The following is a 20375-nucleotide window of genomic DNA, read 5'->3' as shown; positions in this document are numbered from 1 at the left end:
CCTGTCCTCTACGCTGCTTTCCCTCCCTTCTCTCTCCCCAACCCTTTCACCTTCCCGAGGGAGTCGCTGAAGTTGCACGGAGGTCACCCGATCATCATTTAACTATTTTAAACCATCTACCTCCTTCTACCCCTCAAGTCTGTTAGAGCCTCTGCAGGATAGACCCCTGCACCCCTTGTTTGGTGATGGGAGAGTCTCAGAGACAGAAAGACACAGAGGGCAAAGCTCCCCTCCTCCCTTTCTTTTCCCTTCCGGCAACCTTTTCCAAGCTGCACCCTCTCCCCCTTTCAGAATCTTAATGAGCAATTCTGGAAGAGTCCGGAAGGGCCTGTAGAAACCCCCGCCTGCCTCAGTGCTGTGGAATGATTATGTATGTGTTTATTTATTGTGCTTGTCTCGGTTATGTTGTGAATTGCCACATGGGTCTGCTTATGTTAGGGAAGCACGTTTGCTATGTTTGTGTTGTAGTACCAGAACCAGTGGCCATGCAATAAGACACAGACACACACAGAAAGCAAATGATTTCACTAACATAAACCAGAGGGCAATGTTGAAAATAGCACTCTCTCTCTCTCTCTCAAAAAAAAAAAAAAAAAAAAAAAAAAAAGACAGGAAAAAAAGAAATTCTCAGCATGTGGGTTAAGAGAAGCTGTTAGGTCCATATGACCTCCTACTACTTTCAAAACACTCCTGCCTAATACTTTAAGTCAAGATCAAGAGACCTGCGGATGTTGTGAAGTATGTTTCAGAGCAGCTGAATGACTTGGTCTAGTTTTGAAGAGAAACTCTCATTTGTTTCTCACACTGCCCAAAGACCAAATAGGGGAGTGTGTTTGGAAAATGCCCAAATTCAGAAGCAGCAGGCGAGAGAAAAAGAGTCGGAAATGTCTTAGAGAAAAAGACAGAAAAATGGGATTGAGGAGTGGTTTCAGGGTTCTCTCTCTTTTTTTTTTTTCCTGTCCAGCAGATTTGATGTTGTCAAAATGAGTTAACCAACCTGAGAAACAGTTCTGTCATTGTGGGAAATAGAGGGAAATTTGAACATTTCTCAAATCCCGAGCTGAGGAATGCCTGACAGGAAGAAGAGACATGAAAACACTGATGGAGACGAAGTGACATTGATGAGGTTTCATCTCCTTCAAATAGAAAAAGAATCAAGTATATAAGGAAGCAGGCCTGGATGATCATTTAAGCGTACATTTGTCTGTTACGCATGGCTTTGTTATTCTTACTAAAGCAATTCTCATAACTCTTTAAACTCGCATTAAGTAGAATTAAACGTGTGTATATCGAGAATGGTATCACATAGCACATAAAACTGTCCATTGACTGGGGTGATGAATGGAGATAGAAGATTGTTCCCTTTCTTTAATAAATCAAAATAGCATCAAAGTCCTCGTGCATGGTATATACTGAAACCTGCTGGTCTTCTTTACCGGGAATTGCCTGGGGAGCCAGGGGAGTTTGTGATGGGTGTTGCTTTAACAAAATAGAGCAGATCAATCGATTAGGTTTCCGTGTGTGCTGCTCAATTTATTCTGTACAATTTTTCCAGAAATTAAAAGGTTACCAAGAGAGTACCATGTTCCCATCTCTGACTGAGCACCACTTATTACCGCAACAGTATTTCAATATTAAGTGATCTTCAAGATATTTCAGCTTTCATTTTGAGTTCTGAATGTGAATCAGCATGAGAATGGCAGTGCAGCAAGATAAGGTATAACTAACCCGGCAGACAGCTGAAGGGCTCCTAGGAAAGTGTTGCTGAGAGGAATATCTGGGGCTGTTCTCAGTAACCTTGTTTACAGGGACATTTCAGTTGCAGCTAGAATTTTAGCGAAAGCCCGCCAGAGGTAATGGGCTTATGTTTGAAATGGATCCTAAGTGTCTCTTTTTTCTTCTGCACAGACATGCTATGCACCTTACCTGAATACTCAAGAGAAAACTTTTCTGATGCCCTATGACATTTTCTAATGCAGACAAATCCTTGGATGAGTGTGTCATTGGAAAGGGGGTTATTTATGAAGTTCTCCTTTTGTTTACAGATGTGTCAATACAAGTAGCTTTAGTCTTTTAAAAAAAAAATGTCTTGTGTGTTTGACTCTGTTAGATGCAAAACAAATCATATCCAAGGAGGTTAAAGTATGCCTTACAGATTGATCTATGAAATTGGTTTCAATTAGACACCGAAGGTGTCATTATCCTAGTAAAGGGGATTTGTGATATAATATAGAAATTCTGTATTTGTTTCAAAATTGTTGGAAAAATGTGGGAATAGAAAGATTTTGAGGGAAATGCCAAAAGCCACATTAATGAAGAAAAACACTGTTGAGATACTTTTGAATAATAGATAGGTTATGTAATGGTCAACCACAAGATAAAATTTTTACACGGTATTTTTATGGCTTTAAATTGGCTGCATTGTAAACTAAGCTTACTACTCTATTAAGTCATTATACTTTTCAATTATTTAACATTTCTGGCCAAGCTATCTTCTGTGGTCTTTTTCTGTACACATCAGAAATGATGCGTACAGTAGTAGTTGTTTGTTGTTAGTGCGAGGACTTTGTGATGGAGCAAGCTTTAATTTAAACTTTTCAAGACAATATTATGAAGAATGCACAGAGGAAAAAGCATGTTATGGATATAATTTGAGCCCTATGAAATGGGGATAGCTACAGCATTGAAATGTACCTAATACAATTTGAGTTATTCTCACTAAGAAACCTTGATGGTATCTGCCTTCTAGGTACTGTGCTTTTGGAAATACTATATATCCATTTAAATGCAGATCTTCTCTTTTCTCCAGGGAGCAGTTGGTGAATCTTTCAATTGAACCACGGGTATGATAAAACCAACTGAAAATTTTTCCATGAACAATAGAGTCTGTCGTTTTGAAGTAATGATTATCAAGTTTCATAATATTGTGATTTTTAAAAATTCATTTAAAATATCTTCATAAAGTCAAAATAATGTACCGGGACTTCTTGTGCAAAGGAAGAAGTTTTCTCTTGTCACTTTGTTGTCAGTTTGTTAAAGCTGTGAAATCATACGGCTTTGCAATTCAGTTTTTAGGTTGGCACTGCCATCCCAGTAGAGTAAGTAGGCTTTAGGAATCAGAGCAAAGAATTATAAGTAAGTTCTATGTGTTCTCACCCTCTCATGCTAGTGGATGAGCGTGTGGTGCTGTAGGAGAGTTTAAAGATCTTTCTCGGCTGGGCACAGTGGCTCACTCATGCCTGTAATCCCAGCACTTTGGGAGGCTGAGGTGGGTGGATCACGAGGTCAGGAGATTGAGACCATCCTGGCCAACATGATGAAACCCTGTCTCTACCAAAAATACAAAAATTAGCTGGGTGTGGTGGTGCGCACCTGTAATCCCAGCTACTCAGGAGGCTGAGGCAGGAGAATGGCTTGCACCCGGGAGGTAGAGATAGCAGTCAGCCGAGATGGCGCCACTGCACTTCAGCCTGGGGACAGAGTGAGACTTCGTCTAAAAAAAAAAAAAAAAAAAAAAAAAAAAATGAAAAGAAAAGAAAAAGAAAGAAAAAAAAAATCTTTCTCCAGAACAATCTTTAGATAATTTTGAACCTAATCTATAATACGACGTTTGTATTGGAATTAGTGGTGGTGCCAAAAGGGAGAGCCAGAGCCCCACGGGGCCTTCTTTTAAGAGATGATTGCAGAAAGTAACACAGCTTTTTGAAATAGAAGGTCAATACACACAGCCTTATGGTTCAGAGAACTAGAAAAATTATTGCAAACCTTGAAGCAAAAATTCTTGGTAGTATGTTCCTGATAAAAATTTCTGTGAAATTATTGCAACTCTTTATGTCTCTCACACAGAGAAGGAAGTTTTCTTTTTCTTGGAGGTTAGATACCATTCATTTACTCATCCTTGATTCACAACCCATTGTGAAAGGCCACTCTCTCCTTAGCTTGCCCCCTGCACTGTATTGGGGATAAATCTCATCTCCCGTTCCTCTTGGACATGTATACCATATACAGATGTTTATTAGTATATTTATAATATTATGCTTGATAATACCTATAGTTGTGAAGAATAATCATTTATAGTTTTAAATCAGGCCTTTATTTACATTTTTATTATGAAGGATACTTTGTTCATTTAAACAAGGTAATGATCATAGTTATCACACACACAAAAAAGGTTGAGTGTGTTTGGAGTACCTGTGGTAACATGCAAGATACTGGGGAGTCAAAGATATTTTATTTATTTATATGGCTGTTTCTTATGGTGTATCTGCTAAAATAAATAACCTGGACACTTAAAAGGATGTTAACAAATGAATTTGCTCATTTTACTTTCCCTATACAAACAAATTTTTTTTAACTTGGACAATATGCATGCCTGACAGTGATTGTTTACTAGTTTGAAGATTTAAATTCAGGTTGCCAACATTATGTGAAGTATAGCAAAACTTTTGCATTCCTATTCTGATAGATACTAATGGAATAGGATAAACCATATTTCCAGATATCTACGTTATAGAGTGGCTCATTTAAGTTTGGTCTCATTCTAAGATATATTAGATTAATAAGTCTGATTTTATGACCAGTGTAATTTATATTCACAAATACCTATTTTTATTAGCACACTTATAGGTTGTAAGCAAATTTCCATATATGTAAAATACTCACAACAAGAATAACTAACATTTGTATAGTGAGTTACAGTTTATAACCATACATTATCTACAAGCTGTTCTTTAGAAGAATATTTATTGCACTTTCTTCCTTAAGGAGGCAATCAGTTTTTACATTGTAAACATTATTTGAAAATAGATCCTATTGTCAGAGTTCCCTCCCTTCCTTCCTCTTTCTTTCCTGTTTCTCGTTTTTTTTTTTTTTAATCCATTCTTCCATTTTTCTTCTTTCCTCCCTTAATGGGGAAAAAAACCTAATGACTTTTTTTGGTGGAGCATGTATAATTGCTTATCATACATTTCTATGAAAGAAGTAGATGTAGCAAGCAATCCCACGTGATTTTTGGAATATATCTTCTGCTCACCAGTGTTCTTGAGGAAAATGTAAGGTTGCAGAAATCATTTCATGCCCTGTATGTTTTCAAACATAAATCAGGAAAATTGTTAGCAAGTTATAGCTTTTCTTAGAGACTGTAGCTATAGTACTATAGTAAACATGGGCTATATATTTTTCCAAGTTATTATGTGTGGAGAGAAATCTGAAGTTGGCTATTTAGATGAACAGTTTAATTCAGTTATTAGAAATTCATTTTCTATTTAGTATGAACATTTATTTTCCTAAGGTTGCAGAATTGGGATATAATACCTGATGATGCTTTGGCCCAATCACCTTCAAAGTTAGAACTGTGCTCTTTGTAGCTAATGTGCATACTAGCAGATGTCAGTCCTCAGCTAAAGGTCACTCGAAATGGTGCTAAGCTGGGTTTGTAGTATGAGCTAGTTACCCACTTCATCAGAGGGCAGTAGTGAACCTTTGTTTCTTCATTTCTAAAATGAAGGGGTTTGACTCCATGGTCTCCAACTTACTTCACCCCTGCGATTCTGAGTTTAGTGCATGATTGATAATGATCAATCAATTAATCATAAGCCTATTTATTTCCTTTCTATAAACTAACTATTTACTTAAGTATGGCCCTACGCCATGACTAGAAATATTAGTATACCGAGTAGTAAATGAGCTCAGTATCTGTGGTTTCGAATGAAAGCCTCATGAAATTTAGAGTCTGGTTTGCATTAAAATTTTTCCATTGTAAACCAATTAGTAGATATTTAAAACACTTTGTTTTTTTGGTCTTGCAGAAAACAATCTTAAATTCTGATTAGTTTCCTACGCTAGACCATACAAGCCCTTTGTTGCTTATTGGAGTGAAATAGTGTATTATCAGTGATGAACAAAATGTAAAGAACAGTTCTATTATGATACAAGTGATAAGCATAATACAAAGGCAGTAAAACAGAATGAGAGTTTATCATTTATCTAGACTTGCGATGGTTGGTGTTTAAAAGAAAGCACATATAACAGGAAGTTTAAAAGAGACAGAAATGATTGCAGAGTATCTGAAAGGGATTCTTAGAAACTTTCGGGACTCTTTGAGGCTGGTTGCAAAGTATATGGCTTTTCTTTCCCTGATATACTGAAATATTAGCAGTACTTCTAAGTTTATCACTTGTGATAAGATATGGCTTTTAACACCTAAATTCATTGAACAGGGGGAGTGAGGAAAAATGGAGATAGAAAAAAAGCTATTCTCTGAAGTAGTTGGCCAAGTTGTGAGAGAAGGAAAAACGGAAGCAGTTGGATGAAGAAGAGGGTGAGGTGTGTGTGTGTGGGGTGGGGGTGAGGGATGGGGATAAGGGTGGGGAATAGCCTTGTCTGTACTTAACTGAGCTGTGAGATGTGAAGCCAAAAGGAAAAAGAGGCAAACTAGTGTGTGCACGTATCCCCTGAAGGGAAAGGACAGTGTGTTATGAGAAAAGGCTTTGGAATTAGAGCTCTCATTTCAAAATCTCTACTGGATCACTTATTGCCGTATGATTTTGAGAAATTATTTAATTTTAACTCTTTGAACCTTTATAATTATAAAAATGTGAATAATAAAAGCATCTGCTTCTCAAGATGGATATGAGAGTTGAGTCAGACTCTTGGCTATAAAAGTGCTTATAAATGGTAAAGTTACTTGGTTTCAGGTGGTGAAGAAGAGTCACTGGGTCCACCAGTTCTCTGTGCTGAACAGATCTGGCCATTCTGAGGTGAATTTGCTCAGCTCCAGAGTGGTCTTCGGTTGGTACATTTCTTGTCTACTGTAGAACAAGCATTGTGGTTGGTACTTTACATATTACTTCAGGGAGGAAGCAGGAAGTAGTTGCTGGGCACCTGCTAGTTTCTCCCTGAAGTAGTTGCAGGGCAGCTGGGCAGCTGGACATAGAAGATGGTAGTGAGACTGACAATTCTCACGTATGCAGTGCCAGTGCTTGAGCATATTTACTTTCCCTTACAGATGGCCACAGCTTGTCTAAACAAACAAGTGACTGACTTTGGAAACAAAAAAAATGTATTCAGTAATTGTGTTCTTTATCTCAAATATCGCCTGTCATTGGCACTTTTGCCATGACGTTGCTATTAATCAAAATTTCCTGGATTTTTGTTAAGGCTGGAGGAATCAATGTTTGGTAGTAAATACTTAGAAATAGTATTATAAATTCTATTTTAAAATATGCCCAGGGTACAAGATTAGAACTAATGCACATAGTAAGTGCTGGGTGCTGTGGCTTACACCTGTAATCCCAGCTACTTGGGAGGGTAAGGCTTGATGATTATTTGAGGCCTGGAGGTGGGATCTGCCTGGGCAACATAGCAAGGCTCCATCTCTAAAAAATGCCAACCAACCAAACAAAAAGAACTAATGAATGTAATACATTCGTTGAAATCCAAGTTCTAGATACCATACATATGTCTTTTAGGAATATTTTTGGCCTGGCACGGCGGCTCACACCTGTGATCCCAGCACTTTGGGAGGCTGAGGTGGGCAAATCACCTGAGGTCGGGAGTTCGAGACCAGCCTGACCAACGTGGAGAAACCCCATCTCTACTAAAAATACAAAATCAGCTGGGCGTGGTGGCTCATGCCTGTAATCCCAGCTACTCGGGAGGCTGAGGCAGGAGAATCACTTGAACCCAGGAGTCGGAGGTTGCGGTGAGCCGAGATTGTGCCATTGCACTCCAGCCTGGGCAACAAGAGCAAAACTCTGTCTCAAAAAAAAAAAAAAAAAAAAAAAGAATATTTTTATCTATAATTCACTGATAAATATCTAATCAACCCTTCCATCAGAAATGGGTTACATTTTAATGCATAAAATGAAGCAGTAGATCAATAATTATTTAAGAAATTTGAGCTGTTGTACAGATTATATATGTATAAAAAGCAAACTCTACCCAAGATTGCTGGATACTGTGCTCTGATTTATAAGATAATGATCAACAAAACTCTACACTTTTGTGAACTGTTAAACCTAGAAACTGGGGTCAGGCGCGGTGGCTCACGCCTGTAATCCCAACACTTTGGCAGGCCGAGGCGGGCGGATCACGAGGTCAGGAGATTGAGACCATCCTGGCTAACACGGTGAAACCCCGTCTCCACTAAAAATACAAAAAATTAACTGGTCATGATGGCGGGCGCCTGTAGTCCCAGCTACTAGGGAGGCTGAGGCAGGAGAATGGTGTGAACCCGGGAGGCGAAGCTTGCAGTGAGCCAAGATGGCGCCACTGCACTCCAGCCTGGGCAACAGAGCGAGACTCTGTCTCAAAAAAAAAAAAAAAAAAAAAAAACCAAAAAAACAAAACAAACAAACAAACAAACAAACAAAAAAACACTAGAAACTGGAGTGGACCCAGAAATCAAGAGATGTCTTCGGGTCAGGCTTGAATTAAAAAGTAAATATTTAATCACTTTTACCAGAATTCATCAGGGCTACAGTGTACGGGATACGTGCTAAACAAATGAAGAAAACAATCTTCAGGGAGTTTGATGATGAGTCAGTGTTAAGAACTTTGACATGTATATAATGAGTTGGAAGTAATGACATAGACAGCATGAGCACTGGAAGGCCACATATAACCTCCAAACCATCATTTATTGAAGGATTCCAGCTTTCTGTGAGGACGATTTTGGGTAGTAAAATTGACCCAACTTGAGTTTTTTTCAATTTAGGAAAATTTATTAAACAGGTAATATCTTTAACATCATGCTAAGCCTGTTTGAGAATATAAAGTAATTTTAACATATAGTACCTCTCTTTAAGGGACGTATGCTACCTGCAGGGAAGTGCATTATATGTATACGTGACACTGTGAAGATAGCAAGTATAATATCTAATAATGCAAAATATGAATGCTATGTGGTCAATTCATATATATTTATATATATCTTAAAGAGAACTTGACAGAATCAGAAAGCTTGGATTGATGTTTAGGCTGCAATTTACCAGCTGTGTGACCCTCACTTTCAAGCCAAAGTTTTCCCATTAGTAAACTGGGTGTAGCTTCATCTATCTCATAGGACTGTTGGAAGGATCAAATGAAACAGAGCATTTAAACAGAGACTGCACAAATTATGGGAGGGAAGGAGGAAATATGTAACACTTGTGGAACTGCACTTGAGGGTAGAGACCATGTCTTAATTGACTTTGTGCCCCCAGTGTCTGGCACTGTGCCTGGCTCTGAGAGGAGGCTCAGTAAATGTTTGTAAATGCATGCGTGCCAGGCGCTGTGGTAAGCCCTTGACATGTGTTATTCTTTAAAACTTCACAAAAAATTGTGTATGGTAGTTATAGTGTCTCCATTTCACAGATGAGGAAACAGAAGTTCGGAGATTTTTAAGCAAACTCCAACCTCATGTAGGTAGAAAGTGGTAGAGATAGGAAGTTAGATCTACTTGGCACCAGAGCCCAGAGTCTATTCATTACATTATGTGGACTCTCAGATGTAAGGGAATTATCATTATTCCTAAACAATAGTGTGGCCAAAATGAAAAGCAAACACCTTGGATAATTCACCAATTGCCCAGGCAGCTCCTGGGCTGGCTTTCAGATAAGTAAGGGAACATTCTCCCGTGCTACCTGACACATTTAACATGGTCTTTTGTTAAACTGTCAGTTCTGATTTCTGGCCTTTGAAATAAAAAGCACAATAGTGAAAAATACCATATAATATACCATAACCTGGACTTGTCATAGAGACAGAAGAGAAAGGAAGGACAGTGAGGAACTCACAGTTAATGAAGTGGTTAACCAATGACTTGAATTAAATTTGTTACTGCCACTAGCAGCCGCCCTTACCTTCTGTCTCTGTCTCTCTCTTTTTCTCTGTCTCTTACTCTGTCTTAACTTTCACTACTACAGTTGGTAAGGTCTAGAATTTTCACTCTCTTCTATGTTAAGGATGATAATAAAGAAGGTGATTCCACTGCTAAACAGTGGAATATTTCATGTTCTTCATTGCTTGTCTGTTCCTAACATCTCTATAGCTCATTACAACAGTTGGTTCTGTTGGAGTGAAGTTTTGCAGCCATCCCCAGTTTCTAAAGAACAATACTAAAATGGCCCCTGACAACACAGTAATGTTAAAACTCCAGCCTCTGCATTGGGAGACAGAATGCAGAGGTTGATACCAGACTACCCGATCTTACATTATTTTGTCCTCAGTTTATTTCTGAGGAAAAACAGAGGAACCTTACATACAAAGGTTTCTATAAGAAGCAGAGGGAAATGCATTTTAAAAAATCCTGATTCATTTTAAAGCTTCTGTTAAAATATAGTACACTGTAGGTCAGGACAGCAGAGACAGGAACTACGTATAAGTCCCGAGAATACCTTACACTGTTGTCAGAATCCAGCCAGTAACAGTGTGTGGTTTCCCAGGGACTGCGCTAACATACCTGAGATGAAACCTGGTGGGGAGATACTTTCCACATTCCTTTCTGACCTGTGGTGAGTCTGCTGGGGTGAATTGTGTGAAGTTGTCAAAGGTTGCTCTGCTCTCCAGCACTTGGCACCAGCTCTGCTGAAATGTGATGCCATTGGTTTTCAGTAAAGGTTCCTTTCTGCAGGGCTGCAAATACAGATCAGCTGCTACTGTGTATACACAACCAGGGAGCAAATCAACCAGCACATTTAAAGCAGCCTTTTTAACCCTGAGACTTTCCAAGATCTCCTCTTCACACAGGAAGTTTCCTTCTCTGTTGTCAGATTTAGCACTGTGCTCTTGTCATCAGATCCGAGCCAGGCTCCCTGCTGCACAGTAGAGAGGCTTCCTTAAGACATTTGTCCTTGAAACTGCACCAAACTCTTGGAAGAACCCAGAACGTGTAAGTATGTATGATTTAGGCAGCAATAGTACAGGGCAAAGCTGCAATCAACCATTATACAATATCCGATTAGCAGTGCAGGAGGGATTTTTCCGACGTTATGTTACATTCATTTTCAATTTGTTCTGAGGAAACAAATCAATTCTAGCTTCTGATACAGTGACTTTGCAGTAGATGGGGTTGTAATATGTTAGCTTTAACTATTTGCTGTTCTCATTTAGCATTTAGATGTGACTTGTGGGACAATTACTGTGGGCATTAAACTATAAAACTTCTAAATTTTTATTAGGAATTGTAATTGTTGGTCATGTCCATCTTGAGAAACAAGTTAGCTTTGGGGAATGTTTTTAAAGAATTAACCACATAAATTCATGGACAAAAGAATGAATTTGTACTGTTCTTGCTCTCAAAACATATTAGTTTGCAGTTTTAATTTACTCGTAAAGAGCATTCCACTGAGGTTTTGTCTTAATTGAATCCTACCCAGTGCTGTCTGTTTGGTGTTTTACTGTCTTGTATATATCTGTTTAAGTTACTTCGCTAGGATTGCAGTCTGGTTAAACCTGTATTTAGCCACTACCTAGATTCTAAGAACATTCAGGTCAGTAAATGCTCACAGAATTTTGGAAAGTGGTGGATTTGTTTTCAAGGGTGGTCGTATTACCCTTGAAAGCTTTTTAGGTGCACAATGTGAATGGCTGTCAGATGGAGACCACAGACTGAACACTCTAAGGCTCTAAGTCAAATCTCGGCTTGTCCACTTTCATAACTCCAATTAACTCCAACCAATAAAAGCCCATGCCCCCTTTCTATCAATTTTTAATATGCAACAATACTTATGTTTATGAGATTAATTTCTCTCAGATTAGTCTGATTGATAGCTGGATTGTGGTTTCTTAAGAGCTTGCTCCCTGAAACCCACAGCAGAGCTGCATTCCATTTAACTAGTGAATGTAAAAACGGGTAACCATGGATTCAGCCACCACTAACTGCCAGTGCAATGACTTGTTGTAAACAATACAAATGAGCCAGGAGAGCAGAGGCAACCAGACATGAAATGATTTTAATAGAAATTACGGTAAAAGGTCATGTGATTTGGTATCAGCTTCTGTTCAGTTTTAAAGGGAAAGTCTTTATTTTCTCCCCCTTCTTCCCCCCTTACCTATTTCCAACCAACCCAAGTAGGTATCTCCACAAACTTGGCAGGTCCCACTCTGTGCTTCCATGGAGAAGGGCGGCCAATGTGATTCTGGGCAAAGTGTGGTGACTTGTGGATTTTCACTGGTAAGTACCTTTATTTTAGAAACAAAAAGGAAGTCTGTATTTCAGGGCTTCCTTTATGGAAGGTCAAGCTAATTGCGTACTAGAAGTTCTCAAGTCTTGACATAAGAGGAATAGGTCATTTCGTTCCTTAGCTTTTAAATGGTACAACTGTCTTTTCTCTCTCTCTCCCTGTCTCCAGATTAATTCGTAAACTCAGTCTTTCTGAAAACTGTTATTTGCTTTAGAAACAACTTCTGCCATATGGTAATAAGCACATGCAGATACTGTGAGAAGTGCTGTGTCCTAACTTCAGAGTTTTCATCTACCCAGATATTTTCTGAGTTCTACGAGGACCAGATATCACAATAATATTTGCATTTCTCTGGTAGAGGTGGTTTCAGTGTGTGAAAATGATTGTATTCATAAATTTGCCTTCAACCGAGAAAAATGAGCAAATTGTACCTGTGTTAAGTGCTAACCTCGTGGTTTGTTTGGTGTGCTGTTATCTGCTATGCTTATTTTAAAAACTAAGTGAGGAATGTCTAGTAGCCAAATCTGGGGGGAAAGGGGACATTTGGAAGCATAGCCGTGTCTTTATCCAGATTTGGAGGTGGATCTAGTCAGTACACAGCATGCATGCAGGAATGAAGATGCTCAGAGTCACAGTCTCAAGGAACCACAGGCACTTTAAGCAAAGGACTCTGTCTAGGTGTGCTGAGCTTCAAGGTGAAACAGACCTGAACTGGTTTCTTGAGCCATACTTCCTTCCACATACAGATGGTATAAATAATTGCATCATCCTGGAACAAAAGATAATGGCTCTTTTAACTCCTTTTAACATATAGATTCTTCTGAATAGATGCATCATTGTACATATACAGGTGTCATACTGAATGATAGAATTTCAGGTGTGTATTTTTCTATTAATACCTCTACTGTAATAGAACCAATCAGCACATGAAAAAGCATGAGGGTTATAATTTAGAAGCTCAATAAAATGTAAAAGCATCAACCCCCTCTACATACACTCCAGATTTTATCTGGCAAACTCTTTGTTTAGAACTGTAAGTGCTAAGTGTTAACATAGTGCTTATATTTAAGCTTTTTTTAAAATCAATCTTTTTAAGATGTTGGAGAGCCTTATTGCATGCTTAGACTGAAAAATGTTTCAGAATATCATGGTTAATACTGTGATCTCATGGTGTGTTTTCTATTCTAATACCAGCTATGTTTATCAAAAAGATATAAAAGAATAGACTCTAGTAATTAATGTTGGGGGGGGGAAAGGAGCAATTTGAAGCGAGTGTGGGAACACCAAGTATAAGTGGAGTTTGGGGTAAAATATAATAAAAATATGCTGTTTTTACTTTTCCTCACCTTGATTCTCCAAGCTGAAAGATAGGACTAAAAGTGTTAGGTACAGGGTGATTATGAAGCATAATATTCAGAGTCAGACATGGGTTGGGGTTTTGCTCTGGACCTAACCATGTTTAATATTTTTAGGCCAAGTGACTTCACCTACCTGACCTTCCACATTCTCATCTGTAGAGTGAGGGTAATAATGTATACCAATGTTGGCTGAAAGAGTTACATGAGATAACATATGGAAAGTATTCAGCAGTGTGTCTGGCAGAGTAAGTGTCCAGTAAACTGTTGCTGGTTTCATTATTATCTTGACCCTCGAACAACATGGGTTTGAACCATGCAAGTCCACTTGTGGGTAGATTTTTTTACAACCTAACACCGATCAAAACTACAGTGTTTGTGGGCTGTGAAACCCATGTCCAGAGGGCTGACTTTTCGTGTACGTGGGTTCAGCAGGGCTGATTGCAGGACTTGAGTATGTTTAGGCTTCGGTATATGCAGGAGTCCCAGAACCAATCCCCAAGGATACTGAGAGATGACTGTATTTTTGATTGAGGAAAAATATCATCAAGTAGAATCCTGCTCTGTGTGCTTCACAGAGGAGGACACTATTCACACCATTGTTTGGTCCTGTCATAGTGACAACTGTACATCACAGTAGCTTTCATCACTTGGGAGATGGTGATTCATTTTGTAACATAGTATAGTGTTTTACTTTTAAAAAGTATGTTTTTTGAGATGGGGTCTTTCTCTGTTGCTCGGGCTGGAGTGCAGTGGCACAATCATAGCTTATTGCTGCCTTAAACTCCTGGGCTCAATTTTTTAAATGTTTTGTAGACATGGCGTCTTGCTTTGTTGCCCAGGTTGTTCTCGAGTTCCTAGGCTCAAGCTGTCCTCCCACCTTGGCCTCCCAAAGTGCTAGGATTACAGGCATGAGCCACTGCACCTACCCTATATAACACTGTTATTAAAAACCAAAAGTAATATTTATATTCATTATTTTTTAAATTTTCATACAAATTACTTAGAAAAACTAGTTGAGTTTTTTTTTTTTTGGGGGGGGTGGATTTCTGATACTGTGGGTATTGAGGCTAAATGCACATTTTATGTGTAATTCTATTGGTAGGGTCAAGGCAGAGGGACATTTAAAGGGATTCATGGCTGGGCGCGGTGGTTCATGCCTGTAATCCCAGCACTCTGGGAGGCCAAAGTGGGTGGATCATCTGAGGTCAGGAGTTTGAGACTGGCCGGGCCAATATGGTGAAACCCTGTCTCTACTAAAAATACAAAAAATTAGCCAGGCACGGTGGTGGGCACCTGTAATCTCAGCTACTGGGGAGGCTGAGGCAGGAGAATTGCTTGAACCTGGGAGGTGGAGGTTGCAGTGAGCCGAGATTGTGCCATTGCACACCAGCCCGGGCGACAGTGTGAGACTCTGTCTCAAAAAAAAAAAAAAAAAGCATTCATAATTACACTAATCCTAAAAGCTTTAAAGTAGGGGTTCACAAAGATAATCATATATACTAAAAAGCAGTAATAATGAACAGACTAGTAAGTATGGAGTGTATATGCTACCAAAGATATATTTCTTGGGAGTATTGTCTACATGTTCACTGTGTCTTTTGCCCTTCTTGAAATCTAAGGGTCTCATTCTTTCATTCTTCTCTCGTGTCCCTCCCTTCTTCTCTTCTCTCCCCTTTTTTCCTTCGCTCTTTTCTTTACTTCTCTTTCTCTCTTCCTCCTTTCTTCCTTGTTTTCTCCCTCCTTTTCTTTCTTCCTTCTTTCCTTCCTCCCTTCCAGCTCTTATATATTGTCCCAGCTACATAACATTTCATTTTTACTTGTGAATCAGAGGGTTCAGGGGATGAAAAAAGAGGGACAGGAGACCCACAGTCTTTTGATGCCAGCCCTGGTTTTATAAATGGAAACTTTAAGAGGAGTCAGAAAAATCCGTTTTTCTTTCTCCTGCTATTGAACAGGAGAGCCACATTTGAAGTGACCTGCAGACCCTAGGGAAGCCTTGCTCAGTAACTATTTGTTGATTCATTGATTAAACAGCATGGAGAGAAGGGGCATCAAGCACGGAGATCCCCTTAGTAGTGAAAGCTTTGAAACTCCAAGCTGCAGTGTGCAGTAGGATGGCTTCTCTGTGACCTTCCAACAACTAATCTCCTTTAAGAACTGAATCAAAGCAGTTAAGAGATTCTGTAAGATGGATTTTGCCTACAGTTGGGTTTTTGGCAGTTGCATGTAGAAAGCAATACATTCTTCATGAGGATTTTTTTTTTTTTTTTTTTTTTTTTTTTTTTTGTCCAGAAAGGAATGAAGACAAGGTGCCAGCAGAGATCTCTAGAGAGAGACTCTTATTTAGCCATGGTACTATTCGGGCAGAGACAGCTGCAAGGTGGATGACTTTCTCACACTTCCCAGCCAACCTTCTTTTTAACCACCCTTGTCTGATGCTCCAGTCAACAAGCACATCAGTGCAGTGGGCTTCTCTCTACAATCTTCTTTCCCAAGGGCAGAGAACATGCCCTTGGGAGATATCATATGACTGGATATCATATGAATGACAATGGGTATTTGTCATGTTTTTCTAGGGAAATCATAGCAAGTAGCAGGCTAGAGATGAAATTCCTCATTTTAATAGATAAATAAGTTGCCCACACAACACATGAGCTGCAAAACCAGGGCTATGGCTTGCGATTTCAGATTCCCAATCTAGAACTTTGTTGAGGGCTTCTGCTTTCTAATAAATAGATAACAGAAGAGACAGCTCGTGTCATAGGAGAAAAAACACACACACCCCCAGTTTAGAAAATAGTAAAACTATCTTAAAGGGACTGCTCAAAAGAATCATTATAGGTCTGGTTCAAATCCTGAAGCTGTAATTTCAAAATTCCGCAATCCTTGGGAAAGATGCTTAGCCATTCTGAGCAGTGGTTCCCTTTGTTGTAAAGCTGGGGTTAAAATAACTATAATGTCTATATTTTAGGCCTATTTTGAGGATTAAATAAGATTATATATTTAAAATGCCTATTCCAGTGATTAACACAAAATAAATACCAGTAATATTATTGTACTCTTCTTTCCCTCTTCAGGTCAGTGGTATATGGTAGAATTATGAGAAAAGTCTTATAAGTATGCCTCTGGAATAGTGTAGCTCAGTGGTTTTCAACATTTTCTTCTGCTGTAACACATACAGAAAACATATGTGAAGAATCACCACATCCCTGGCATAGAGTGATCAATATATAATAATACGATGGTGGTGATGATAACTGTGGTGGTGATGACAGAGATGCTGATGCTGACGGGTGACATGCACATACTGCAGATGAGCACTGGACTCTGAGTAATTCCAGAGCTTTAGCTTGGATTGCACTGCTTTTCTACACTAGAGAGGAAATCAGAATGTTACTGAACATCAATAATTACATTATAAGTGCAACTGCACCCATTTAAATTAAAAAGAAAATCATCAGCAGGCTCCAGTACTTTATTACTGGTAACAAATTACTGGCAACATACCAGTTGGTTTAGAAGATGCCATCTTTCCTGGAGGAAGATGATTTTGGAAAATGCTTTACATCATAGCTCTAGAACTAGACCCCAGGGGTTTGAATTCTGGCTCATGTATCTGCGATGACCTAGGGAAGTAACTGAACTACTCTTCATCTCTCTTTCCTCATCTGAAATTGGAATAATAGTTATACCCACTTCATCAGATTGTTTTGAGGATGAAATGAATGAACACATGTAGATTACCAAGAAAATGTCTGGCATACAGTAAGCATTCAGTGACTATTAGACATTATTGGAGGTTTTTGTCTCCAAGCTATTTGATGGGGCAACATCCTATTTTGAAATTCTCCCTACAAATTGCCAATATTGAAGTTAGTCAAGGTGCCATTAATATATAAAACTGATTTTTAGTTTTCACATAATAGTATCTGCTCCTTACTGTTCACTTACCATGTAACCAGGCATTAGGCTATGTGTTTTACCAGTATCTTAATTGATATAATTCTCTCATTACTCTTATCAGATAGATATTTTTACCCCTATCTTATACATGAGAAAATTGAGCCCCCAAAATGAAACTTGCCCAAGTTCACACAGACTAATAAGTGACAGAGCCAAGCCTCAAATTCATAAACTTCCCTACATATATACATATTGCTTCATTAAGTTAGAGAAAATTTGCAGGGCTTGTGGGAAAGGTGTTTTTGTTTGTTTGTTTGTTTTTTGTTTTTTTGCAATGAAGGAGAGACCCAATACATAACTGCATTTATTCTAGGGTATTCAAAAGTCTCATAGCAGAAACATGGAAGGCAATCACAATAAAAAGCAATTTAATTTTGCTATTTAATAATCACAGAAATATCACAGAACTCAAATTTAATTCTGTCTTATGGAGAAGAAGAAATGGCAGTGGTGGACAAGAATAATGGGACAATGAGGAGAAGAAAGAGGAGGAGGAAGAAGAGAAAGTGGAGAGAAGGAAAGAAAGAGAAAGGCAGAAGTAGGTGGCTCTCATTTAACAGGTCACCAGTTCTGGAAGTAGAGTGTCTGGGATCATCATTTCCATTTCAGACATTATTTTGTCCAAGGTAACACAGCTAGAAATAGTGGAATTGAGATTTACATTGTGGTATTTTACCTTCGAATCAAGTGAACTCTTCTACTCTATTTTGCTATCTTTTGAGACAGAGATTCATGTAAAAATATAGACACAGAAAGAGGCATGGAGAGAAGTATAGGTACATTTATGTGAGGACAAACAATGTTAAAAGCATTATTTTACTTTTCCAGATTTTAACATTGGTCTGGAGTGGTGGCTTACGCCTGTCATGCCAGCACTTTGGGAGGCCAAAGTGGGGTGGATAACCTGAGGTCAGGGGTTCGAGACCAACCTGGCCAATGTGGTGAAACCTTGTCTCTACTGAAAACACAAAAATTAGCCAGACCTGGTGGCACATGCCTATAATCCCAGCTACTGGGAGGCTGAGGCAGGAGAATCGCTTGAACCTGGGAAGCATAGGTTGCAGTGAGCCAAGATCACACCACTGCACTCCAGCCTGGGCGATAGTGTGAGACTCCATCTCAAAAAAAAAAAAATTAACTTTGGAGATTTTCTAAACTCCTGTTGTACTTTTGCAAATATAGACATAAATTAGATTAATCTATATTAGAATACTAGGAGTTTAATACTATTTGATGATTTTTATTTTAAAATAGCTTTTACTTCTCTTAATTGATATTTTAAAGTATTGTGAACTAAATAAGCCACATTCTTCCTAATTTTACAGATGAAGAAACTGAGTTATGTAGTTTCCCTAAGATCACCTCAACTTACAGCCAAAATGAGAGTCATTCTCTGCATTTTACCCCCACTTCCTGGACCCTTGCCCCAGAAAGATTTTTCTCTCTACTTTGGTGATCTCTTCCAATTAGAATCAACTTATAGGAACTTGGGGACATGTGGATGGAGGAGAGTCACATCTTTGTATATAATGAGGGTCTTCCTGGGAAATGGAAATAGGTGACCATTTTTTGTAGGTTTTGCTATTGCCTTTGAGTCTGGGACACCATCATCTGGTCTTTAAGGAATGATGTGAGGGTTGTGATTTACAACATTATTTTTTTTCTTAGAATCCAGGCTGGGGCCTGGAGGGAATCCTGTGCCTTCTTGTGCTGTAGCTTCCTGGAGTCCACCAGACACTATGGTGTCTTCCCTAGAGAGTTGCCTGCTGCTTCTGTGATGTGGCCGACTGGCACTCTGTAGAGCAGACGGAATTCCCTTCTGAGAGGTACTTCCTGCTTTGCATGTTTGTTTTGAAGATGTGGGTTTTGGTAAGCATAGGGGACCAGAAAAAGAGGAGAGGCCCTAGACTGTTGTATGAGAAATGAGATGCAATATAAGTCAGAGTGGAAAGAGGAAGATGAAAAGTCCTTGTATTTCCAAGGTTAAAGTCAAGGTTAGGCAACCTTCTTAAGTCAGTTTAATTATTGTATTAGGGTTCTCTAGAGGGACAGAACTAATAGGTGCTATCTATATATATGTATATATATATATATTTCTATATCTGTCTATCTATCTATATACATACACTTTATTATATATATACAAAGGGTAGTTTACTAAGTATTAACTCACATGATCACAAGGTCCCGCAATAGGCTATCTACAAGCTGAGGAGCAAGGATAGCCAGTTCCAGTCCCAAAATTGAAGAACTTGGAGTCAGATGTTCGAGGGCAGGAAGGATCCACCACGGAAGAAAGATGTAGACTGGGAGGCTAGGCCAGTCTAGTATTTTCATGTTTTTCTGCCTTCTTTATATTCTAGCTACGCTGACAGCTGATTAGATGGTACCCAAACAGATTAAGGATGGGTCAGCCTTTCCCAGTCCACTGACTCAAATGTTAATTTCCTTTGGCAACACCCTGATAGACACACCCAGGATAAATACTTTGCATCCTTGAATCCAATCAAGTTGACACTCAGTATTAACCATCATAGGTGTAATCTCTGAAGTTAGACCACTAGTCAAAGGCCCTAAGGTACTTCTTGGGAAAATACTGGGAACTGCCCAATTATTCTTTTTAAATGCTGGACGTGGAGGGGAAGGATTAAAGTTAGGGATTGGAGTATTTTAATGCTAGAAGGGAGAAGAATGATTGGAAGGCGGAAAAAGTGATTGCTTTTTACCTTTTTCTTCAGAAGGTCATGTGACCAGCTCTGAGTAAAACTGCTTGAGAGTAATTGTGCTTGTTGATTAGATGATAGTTTTCTTATCGTTTCCACTAAATAACATGCAAAACGACTCCCTTCTACTGTTTTTCTCGATGTATTTCTTCTAATAATACATGATA

General features: G+C 38.8%; 1 protein-coding gene across 37 annotated transcripts in view; it reads left to right on the top strand.

Moving 5' to 3' along the window:
• The window catches only part of ESRRG (estrogen related receptor gamma), a 634457-nt gene that overhangs the window by 48697 nt on the left and 565385 nt on the right, over nt 1-20375 (top strand). For 16 of the 37 annotated variants that reach the window (XM_047449398.1, XM_047449392.1, XM_047449368.1 and 13 more), the window contains exon 1: nt 10719-19311. The exons of 12 other annotated variants lie outside the window; for them this stretch is intronic. The gene's annotated coding sequence lies outside the window, so the exon portion shown is untranslated. Of the gene's footprint in view, nt 1-10718; nt 19312-20375 lie in introns of those variants that run through there. 9 more of the 37 variants (XM_047449402.1, XM_017000637.2, XM_017000624.3 and 6 more) reach the window with 6 other exon arrangements.

Source organism: Homo sapiens, chromosome 1 (assembly GCF_000001405.40).
Source record: "Homo sapiens chromosome 1, GRCh38.p14 Primary Assembly".
Taxonomy (NCBI): Eukaryota; Metazoa; Chordata; class Mammalia; order Primates; family Hominidae; genus Homo; species Homo sapiens.
Note: the sequence above shows the minus strand (reverse complement) of the source record. Positions and strands in the feature narration are given on the sequence as shown.